General features: G+C 39.0%; 1 protein-coding gene across 3 annotated transcripts in view; it reads left to right on the forward strand.

Moving 5' to 3' along the window:
- Nucleotides 1-11,178, forward strand: part of NKAIN3 (sodium/potassium transporting ATPase interacting 3) — a 750,799-nt gene that overhangs the window by 703,767 nt on the left and 35,854 nt on the right. The window contains exon 6 of one of the 3 annotated variants that reach the window (NM_001304533.3): nt 1,282-1,352. The exons of the other annotated variants lie outside the window; for them this stretch is intronic. Coding sequence (NP_001291462.1) covers nt 1,282-1,352 — 71 coding nt within the window. The remainder of the gene's footprint in view (nt 1-1,281; nt 1,353-11,178) is intronic. 3 annotated transcript variants of the gene reach the window in all.

Below are 11,178 nucleotides of genomic sequence, written 5' to 3' on the forward strand. Positions count from 1 at the left end.
TTTTAGTTGCGTTACATTCAAGATCAATTGAAAAACTTAAATTGATTATTCAACAAACCAAAGCACCTCCAAAAAAACTTTCAAAACTCTTCATAAATTGCAATAATTGAAAGGTTACAGAAAACATTGACATATCTCCTCACAAAAGCAAAGGAAGACAAATGAGAACTCAAAATGTTGCACAAGAATTGATTTTTTAATTTTATAATTTCCCTTTGAGATATCTTGACTTGAGAAAAGACATTTTAGAATGGAGCCCCAGTTTTTAATTGGAAAACTGTATTTTCTGCACCAGAAGGAATAGAAGTTGATTTGAGAAGTCTTACAATTTTGTAGTGTCTATATTTGGTGAAAAGAATCATAAATAGATACTATTTATGGGTTTTGTCTTATGAATTTTTTGCCAAAAAAATGCTACTCTGTATGGAGGCAAAATTACAGTATCTGGGAAAATATTTGGGCTAAAATATACTACACATATCCTCCATTTAGCAAACTTGCTTGGCATTTACACACAAACACACACACACACACTCCTGAGAGTTCAGTTTTCCTACATGCCTGTATGCCTGTTAATGTTAGAGTGCTATAATGCAACCAAAGCTTGGTTTAAAGTAATTAGTATCTTTAATGGACTATGAAACAGGAGAAACAAACATCATACGTGTACATTAGAATTGGGAGAAGAAAAGATTGAGGCTTTGATCAAAACCAAAAGAAACTGGAAAGAATATTACAAAAATGAGAAGTCTATACAGACAGCCAGTTACTCTGCCATTAGGGAGGAAACAAAATCTTTGCAAAAGGCAGATGCCGATTTTTGGGGAGTGGCTTGGGGACAGAAGGCATTGGAGATAGATTGTGTGGCTTCTCAAATGCCTTTCTAATGATGCAATACATATTCTTAAGGAAAAAAAAGGATTCTAGCAGCAAGAGGAGACAGTATATCTTTTGATATATAGGGAGAAAGGGCATGTCTGTATGCCTAAGGACAAACACATTATTTAAAATCTCATGCTATTTAATATTACTTCATTTTTTACTGAAACCAATAACAACTTATTTTTCAGACCCTATGAATCCAGGTTATTTCTGTATTTTTTAAATTTCCTCTTTTTGGCTCATTGACAATATTTTTAGTAGTCCTTTTTACTAAACATTTTTTCATTTTATGGTGAACGGATATTTTTGTTAACTTTGCTCTTATGCATTCTATTTTAAACATTAGTATTATGTGTATTTTTTACACACTTATTCATATGGCCTATGTTATATTTTCAGTTGATTTCATAGGTGGACTTGATACACACTCCTACTACCAGGATCATGTTGAGTTAAAGCCTGTTAAACCAGTAAGTAAAGGTGTGATGATATGGAAAATATTAATCCTTCTAACTCAGCCAAAACTAACCAAAAGTGAAATAATTTGAACCTACTACTACTAATCATTGGTTTAATTTTCCACTCATATTTAAAACACACCTTTCACATGTAACCCAACATCATCATTATTATTATTCATTCCAAAAAGGATTTGAAGCTGGTGACATGATTTATATTTCAAAAACAATAGTTCTGTCTTATTCCCCTTATCAATAGTTGGTAACTACATTTTTTAATGAGATTATTTAATCTGCAGAAGTAAAGAATGAATATGTGTCCTGGGGCAGCACAGCAAAGTAAAAAGGGGAGAAAGACCTGCAGTGAATCCAGGTCCTCCATGTGACATCCAGGTGCCTTCCTCAGTGTCTCTGAGACTTGTTCTATCACCATACTATGGTTTCACAGGGGGGAAATAGATTAAATTGGATAATGTGTGTATGATATATGTAAAGCTGCCTATTACTCTTCCCAGTACTCAAACATTTGACTAACAAGTTCAGGAACAAGTTTTCTATGTTCTTAGAGGACATGAAAGGAAGTCAGCAACAACAAAACCACCTAAAACTGGTGAGATTTCAGTTGAGTAAAAGAAAGAAATCTTAAGTCACCTAATTAATAAAATACTAGGAAACATGGAAATAGATAGGGTGACTCCATTCCTAGAAAATTCCAAGTAGCACATATAAAACTGTATAAATTAATAATAGCTATCATACACTAACCACTTTGCATATATTATCTCACTAAATCTTCATGAAAACACTGCAATGTGCTAATTAATATTCCCACTTTATAAATAAGAAAACTGAGGTTCATAGAGGTTAGGCAACTTTCTCAAAGTCCCACTATTAGTAAGTTGTGGAGCTGAGATCTTTCCTGGGTAGCAAACCATCACCCAACCTGATATGATGGACTTGCTCAGATGATCTTTTTTTCTTTCAGCTCAGTGTTCTGTAATTTGATGGCGATAGAAGAAATTATGTAAAATAGTCGCTTGTATAATAAACACATATGAAAAGTTTCACCTGCTGCCTCTTTGCCACAGTGGTTCTTACCCAAATATGCAGCTCCCTCACCCAGCATATGTGAGGATTGAAGATCTGAGAAGGCTACACTGATTCCTCTACCTCCCCAGGTTGAATTAACTTTATTCTGGCAGAATGATCTAAAGTAAACATAGCTCACAGGAAACACAAATCAGCACTGTGCCTGTCACATGATAGATGTTTAAATAAATTTTGGTTTCTTAAAGCAAATCCAATTTGGAAAGAACATTCACCCTATATAACACTCCAGAACCAAGCAGTCACCACCTCATTACTCATATCACTAAGTGCTCATAAAGGATATGTTCCAAAAGTTGATGTTTGTAGATATGGGGAACTTGTCAGGGATTGTGACAATAATCAAGATGATTAGTGCATTGGGAGTGAGAAAAGAACTAAGACAATGCCTAGTGGTGACTTAAAGAGTCTTCATATATTTGTTATGTGATAAGAGGATGATGAAGGGTTTCTTTCATCTCCACTGTGAAAAAAAAAACTCAGCAGAGAAATTGCAATATGAAAAATGCTGCAATTTAAGAGAGATCCTTCTATTAGGGAAAGTTATTAAAAACTCCATTTGATAAATGTTGATAATGAAATTTTCTTCTTGAATGATTTGCAAAAACTTGACGCCCATGTACCTATGTACCTCAAAAGGGTGTTCTGTGGCATGGCCCAGAGGCAAGTGACTTCCACTTATGTTCTCTAAAGTCACTTCCATCTCTGTGAATCAAAAACACCCAAAACATACTTTTAAGATCACCTAAAAGGCTTTGATCAACTCCACTGTCTGCTCCAAGGGTTTTCTCAGCACCCCTGTTCACTGCTGACCTAGCAGTGGATAGCTGAATATAGCATAAACTACAAGCTATTCTCTACAGAAAGCAATAGAACAAGCTTCTGCTTTGACAGATTATGCATATTATCATGTCAGATGAATATGGAATGCCTTTCAACCATGAAGGAAGCAAAAATCTAAAAATCAAACTAAGACTGAATTGAAATCATTGTGCATGAAACAATTTAAGAGGTCAGTATCTGTACTCTTCACCAGTATGCAAATATTTCAGCATTTATCCAGTCTGCCTCTGTCAATCTACTTGATTTCTTTTAATAAGCCCGTTATATTGAATTCCATTGAATCCAATGATGCCATATCACTACCCAGCAACAGCTTGGAGAAAAAGCCAACCTTCTGTGCGAAATTGTTAGAGAGGGGAATGAATGCTGGCTTTGACTTTCATTAAGCCTCTTTTATCACAGTGAAGTAGAAAGCCAGGTTTTGTGAGGAAGCCACTTTAATAAGGGGATCAGAAGAATCCTTAGCATATTCCCAGGTACATGTATGTGAACAGGTAGCTTTGAACTCCATATGCAGAGTTTCCAGCCAACAGCTCATTCCTAGGTAATACTGCAGAATTGTACAGGAAGCCTTAATTCTCATGTTTGAGTGTGTCACTGCTCATAACCACAAAGTGCACCTTTCAAGTGTCCACAGTCAAATTGTATGGGAATGTGTATAGGGGAAGTGGGGTTGGGATAGGGGTAAGGTGGTTCACATATGGATTTGGTCTCTCATGTTTTGTTTCTTTCTTTTTAAAGTAATGATATCAAGCTAAAAAAAAGCCCACTGATTACATCAATCAGTTTAATTCACTTTACTATCACTGATTGATTGCCTACACTGTGCACAACAGGCACAGCCTAAGTGCTAGAGATATAAAGATAAATGATACTTGAGATTTGACCCTTAGCAGCCAATGATCTAGGAGGGGAGATCTACATAGAAAGGGTAGATGCAAAACAATATTTATCCCCAAGGAAATTTTATGCGGGAGGGGGAATGGTTAACTCTCGCTTAGCGAGGAAAGGCTTCCCTGAGAAATAACAATTGAGCTACTTTGAAAAGATGACACAATTTATCAAAAGCAGAATAAATATAACTATATTGGAAGATACTTTGGCAGTTTCTTACAAAACTAAGCATACTTTTACCATGAGATCTAGCAATCGAGCTCCTTGGTATTTACCCAAAGAAGCTAAAAAGTTTTGTTCACACAAAAACTTACACACCGATATTTATAGCAGCCTTTTTTTTTTTTAAGACGGAGTCTTGCTCTTTCACCCAGTGGGGAGTGCAGTGGCACTATCTCGGCTCACTGCAAGCTCCGCCTCCTGAGTTCACGCCATTCTCCTGCCTCAGCCTCCTGAGTAGCTGGGACTATAGGCGCCCGCCACCACGCCTGGCTAATTTTTTTGTATTTTTAGTAGAGACGGGGTTTCACCGTGTTAGCCAGGTTGGTCTCGATCTCCTGACCTTGTGATCCGCCCCCTTCGGCCTCCCAAAGTGTTGGGATTACAGGCGTGAGCCACCGCGCCCGGCCTATAGCAGCTTTATTCATAATTACCAAAACTTGATAAAGAACAAAGATGTCCTCCGTAGGTGAATGGATGAACTCTGGGACATCCATACCATGGATTATTTAATGCTAAAAAGAAATGAGCTATGGCATCATGAAATGACATGGAGGAGCATTAAATGCATGTTATGAAATGAAGGAAGTCAAACTGAAAAGGCTACATGCTATATAATTCCAATTATATGGCTTTTTGGGAAAGGCAAAACTATGGAGACAGTACACAGATCAAGGGTTGCGGGAGGGGAGACACGAATAGGCAAAGACAGAGGATTTTTAGAACAGTAGAACTACTCTGTATGACATTGGAATGATGGACATATTTCAGCATACATTTGTCCAAACCCATGGAATGTACAACACCAAGAGTGAATCCTAATGTAAACGATAGGCTTCGAGTGACTATATCAGTGTAGATTCATCAATTGTAACACATGTAACACACTGGTAGGGAATGCTGATAATGGAAAAGGCTGTGTGAGGGCAGGAACAGGGGCAGGGAGCATTTGGGAAATCTCTGTACCTTCCTCTCAATTTTGCTGTGAACCTAAAACTGCTCTTAAAATATTAAGTCTTTAAGGGGAAAAAAAAGCAGCACAAGAAAACGGGTATCCCCAGCATGGAGGCTGATTGGCTTGGCCGTTCTACAGAAGACAAAGTTGAAGCTCATGACTCCCTAATCTCATGTTTGCCATAGTTCTCGTATAAAGTGAGTGAACGGATAGGAAGCAGAGGCTTAAGCAGAGCAGGTGTCTTGACAGCTCTCGGTGAGGACCCTAAGAGACCTGCAGCAGCCAGGGCTCCACCATTATGCCTAAAGCTATCGAGATGCTTTCAGTGGTGGTTATCTGGGTCTGGCCTGGGGACATGTGATACACAGGTCAGGAGTCATCCGTGTTGGGTTTCAATATCTTACCACAACTGCTATCGAGGGAGGTATAAGTCTCACCATAACTGCCATGGAGTCTCCACCGGGATCTACTCCATCACCACCCCCACTCACTGACAGCACCACCAATGAAAGGAAAGAGTAAAGACTGCTCTTATCATCAGAACCCAGAACCCAGTGGTCAGCAGCAGTGGCTCTGAAAAGGATACCTACACATCAGCTTACAGTAGGGGCAGCAGTAACACCAGGAGAAGAGGGTTAGCAAAAGCAGATTTACCCCTCAGGAAGAAAAATAGCATGGCATAAACATATACAGCTATCAAAGAGATATGGAATTTCAGAGAACAACATAGTGAGCAACTAAATTGAAGTTTGTCAAAATCATGACTGGTGTATTTCCATCCAAATGGTTAGCAACTGAGTACCGGGAAGATTAAGCTCCATGTAGCAGTAATTCTTCACATAAAAATAATTAGAGCAAGGCAGTTTATCAAAGAAGGACAGCAGCTGGAATTCCAGAACTGACTTCTACAGCAAAGGTAGAGCTAGATCTGATTATGTTAGAAATTTCCATGAGGATGATGCCTATGACTGCAGTTAAGAAAGACTTGATGAGAAAAGCTGACCTGAGATTCCCCCATAACTTTCAGCAAATCTTTTTCTAAGGCTTCCAAAGGAAAACTTGTTTTCTTTGGTATCTTAACTTGTCTGATTGCCTTTGCTGGAGGCTAATTTTTCTTCACAAAAATTGCTACATGCTAGGTGGCCACTGCTGATTGAGTGGCTGCTATTGCAACTAGGTACTAGAAGACAGCCAAGGCCAATCCCTATTTCAGGGTAGCCCTGCAGCGAGCTCTGCAGGTACTTTCACTGCCTGCTTTCTGTCTCTGACAATCCGGGTACACAGGAAACCCACCTCTGATGATCAGGCTGTAGGACAGATGCAGAGGTGGTCACGTCTCTCTGCACTTTCCTGAGAACAGCTGTTTTGCATTAGTACCCCTATATGTAAGTTGATGTCAGGCCATTTTGCATTTATAGCATCAACATTAAGTACCAGCTAGTAGGACAAATCAGGGTGTGTGTGTGTGTGTGTGTGTGTGTGTGTGTGTGTAGGAGTTGGGAAGGTGGAGTAATGTGCTTTCAAACCTTGATTTAAAAACCAGCAATCACCAGCCATGTGTTAGTAAACTGCAGCTGGAGGCACCTAAAGAGGAATAGAATAACTCTGTCTTGATACTGTTTTCATTTGTCCTTAATTAGCCTTCACATCTTATATTTATCCAGATAGAGCACGCACTGAGCTATGTCAAATTCTGCATGCTGTTTCTCTTCTGTGGCATGTGACTATAAGGTGACTGTGATCCGCTCCTATCAGTGGCTGTCTCACTGTTCCCACTACTAAGGGTGGAGCCCCGTTCCCTGAGGCTTACCATCAGTCCCTGGAAATGGAAAGGACTTCATGAGGCGTTAACTTTCCTGGGCTGTCTCAAGAGCACTGCAGCTGTAAAGCACTCAGCACCTTCTTAGTTGTCCCGAAGGAGAGATGGGCTTCCTTGTGTGCCTGCCTTACTTAGCACCAATGCAGTGGCACTCAGGACTCGTTGCTTTCTCTAGCTTTGGACCTCTTTCCCTTTGTCACTGACATTAATAACTTTTTGATGCATCATAAGAATGGTTGTACCATGTCATGGACTACTGTAAGAACACATCCTGATATATACTTATTTGACTATGTAGCAGTGAAATGGCTGTGTGTATATAGCTTACGCAGTTCAGACTTATCACCGTAGTATCCAGTTAGTGCACCTCTGTTTTTATTAGGACGGAATGATGCCAAGAGTGCAACTGGCAACATGCAAGAGGGTTTGCTGTGACCAGTGGCCAGTCACGTGTCAAAGGAAACACAGATCATTTCCTTTGACATGTGACTTCACTCTCTGCCCCTAAAATTTGTGGAGCCTGATTCTCATGCTTCCTTGTGAAGCACATAAAGCCTTTTTCCAAAATCAGAAAGCCCATATCTGAACAGTGTCCTCCAGGGAGAATATCAATTCCTGACTTTCTCAGAACTTTGCTGGGTATTTGCCATTGATTTCAATGGCAAGAAAATAGATTTATGCAGTGATGTGGAGATATAGTCCACCACCACCCCTGAAAAAAAAAATCAACAACATAAAAAAAGTCATTTTGCCCTGTTTCCAAGAGAAAGTATCCTCTGATTTTAAAATTAAAGCCAATGATATAAACCAAATTTTATGTTAAATACACATATTTTGCACTTAATATTGACATCAAAAAAATTTATAATCCCCATATTATGATAAGTTCTGGGAAGAAACAATATACAGGAAAGATTACACAATACGCAGGAAAAAAGCACACACACACACACACACACAAGTGATTAGAAAAGCAATAGAAAAAGAAACATTTACAGTTCTATCAGAAGAAACACTTGATTCCATTCTGCCTTGAGGGCAGTTACCCTTAAGTAACTACTAACATATCTACAAACGTCTGCAAACAGAGAGAGAGAAAAAGAGAAAGAAAGAGGGAGATGATCTCAAGGATCCCCAAAATCGAAGTATTCTATGCAGACCCATTGATCAATCATAGCATCATTAAAAGTGGGACAACCAGGCCGGGCATGGTGGCTCATGCCTGTAATCCCAGCACTCTGGGAGACCGAGGCGGGCAGATCACTTGAGGTCAGGAGTTCGACACCAGCCTGGGCAACATGATGAAGCCTTGTCTCCACCAAAAAATAAAAAAATTAGCCAGGAGTTGTAGTGCGTGACTGTAGTCCCAGCTACTTGGAAGGCTGAGGCAGGAGAACCACTTGAACCCGGAGGCAGAGGTTTCAGTGAGCCGAGATAGTGCCACTGCACTCCAGCCTAGGTGACAGAGTGAGACTCTGTCTCAAAAAAAAAAAAAAAGTGGGTCAACGAGACATTTTGTGTCCACAGATGTGCTACAATAAGAAGTGCACAGCACCACCTATAGAATGCCTTGCCATAAAGTCAAGCCTGACCTTGGACTGATACTATAGAAATACAAGAATAGTTAAATCTCACCACAAGGAAGCAATCAGCCAAATCTAGCATGTGAGAAATAGTATAAAGCAAATAAAAAAAGAAGAAGAAGAAGAAAGGAAGGGAAACTGTTATTGATTTAAAGAGACACAATAGTCAAACACATTGTGTATATGTGGTTTGCTTGGTTTTAAAACTTTTTTTAAAACAGAACTAGATTATATTTCAAAACACAACTTCTGTATAACCAAAAAATAAAACACCACAATAAAATGAATGAGAAAAAAACATATTTGCAATTCTTGACAAAATGTTAACATCTTTAGTCATAAATGAACTCTTCAGAAATCAGTACTAACAGACTCACATTACAAGGGAAGTGAAAACAAAAGGAAAAGAGGAAAATGGAATAGCACAAATGAGTTATAAGGCTATATGATCTTCATCTTGATATGGTTAACATTACTAGATGAGAAAGAAATTTCATTATAAATTACATTATCGATGCTTACAAATATTGATATCTGATGTTTGTACAGCTTTAGGAAATGAAGAATTCTCAAATACTGGGGCAAGTTACTCTAGTCATGGGGAGTTTACCCAAAAATGTAGATTTTTGCATAAATTTGGCCCAGGCAGTTCTCAACGATAGGAATCACTCCAACAAATAGTTGGATACACACCCACACACATGCACATACATGTTTACTACATAGAAAATGTGTAAGTAATCTATTATCCCCCAAGAAACTACTTATGTATCCACTGGTTTATGAAATAATAGACTGGGGGTAGAAATAGAAAGAAAAAAGACACTTAAGTAAAAATACTACATTTCACAAAATTCTGTGTCCTTTGAATTCTTATGAAAGATTTTTAATTAATCAGTTTTATATTTACCTTGTTATTAGTGAAAATTATAAATATATGCACTTCATAGTGATGCTGCCAGACATATAAGGCATAATTTCAACAAACCAATTGTAATGAGATATTTCCAGATGATTGGAGCAAGTGATTATGGGCTGAGTATTAAATGATATTAAGAAATTTTTGTCAATTTTGATAGGTATGCTAATGAATAGGTAAAAAGAAGAAAAGAAATTCTTACCAATTGAGCAGGTTCTTTCAACCTCTACACTTTTGACTTTGGACAAGGTAATTCTTTGCAGTGGGTCTGTGCCACTGTGGGATATTTAACAGCATTGTTGGCCTGTACCGCCTAGATGCCAGTAACACCATTCCCTACCAAACTGTGACAACCACTACTGTCTCCAGATACTGGCAAGTGTCGACTGGTTAAGAATCACTGAGTTAGAGACGCATGGAGATATGAATGAAAGGATATAATAGTTGAGATTTGATTTTAAATACTCTAGCCAAAAAAGGCTGTGGGGGGTGCTAGTTGATAGGTGAAACTTTAATAGCATAACTTTTATTTTAGTTGAAGCTGAGTGATGAATGCGTAGAGATTCATAATACTATTCTGTCTATCTTTGTGTCTGAATTTTTTTTTTTGAGATGGAGTTTCGCTCTTGTTGCCCAGGCTGGAGTGCAATGGCATGACCTCAGCTCACTGCAACGTCCACCTCCCAGGTTCAAGGGATTCTCCTGCCTCAGCCTCCCTAGTAGCTGGGATTACAGGTGCCTGCTACCACGCCTGGCTAATTTTTGGTATTTTTAGTAGAGACGGGGTTTCACCATTTTGGTCAGGCTGCTCTCAAACTCCTGACCTCGGGTGATCCACCAGACTCAGCCTCCCAAAGTGCTGAGGTTACAGGCGTGAGCCACTGTGCCCAACCCTGTTTGATTTTTTAAAATTCAATCTGTTAATAAAACCTAACACAGGTTTGCCAATAGGTTTTCCTTTGAATGCCCTCTTTCAGAGTTGCCTCACTGTCTTCTGCAAAAACTCCCCACAGACATGTTTCCCAGCTCCTGAAGTAACACTTCCAGAATTCCTACCTGACATCATAAGAACAGGCTCAGCCTGTTTCACTGCTTCACCAATCCATGTTGCTAAAGCCCAGAAGCAGAAAATATTAGCTAGAGGCAGAGCTGGTGTTAAAGATAAATGTAATGGATACCTACAAGTTCCCCCAAACCCTCACTGACACTACTGCTAACAAAGAAAAACACCTTCTCCTGTTGCCTTATCCTCACTCTTGAAGGGATTCATGTATTGGATGGATAAATAAACCTTGAAAATTCCTTCTAACGTAAAGATTGCATAAAGCTATAAAATTCCACCATTATAATCCCATCCCTTTCTCTTTTAGTTTAAATCCCTGTTAACATGCCAAGGAGTAGAAAGGGTAGACATTGAGATTCAGAATGTAGAGAATAGATGAGCAGAGGAAATGTGATGGGGCACAGGGAGAGGCCTGGAGGATTCCCACTCCTGGGGC

This window comes from Homo sapiens, chromosome 8 (genome assembly GCF_000001405.40).
Source record: "Homo sapiens chromosome 8, GRCh38.p14 Primary Assembly".
NCBI classification, from domain to species: Eukaryota; Metazoa; Chordata; class Mammalia; order Primates; family Hominidae; genus Homo; species Homo sapiens.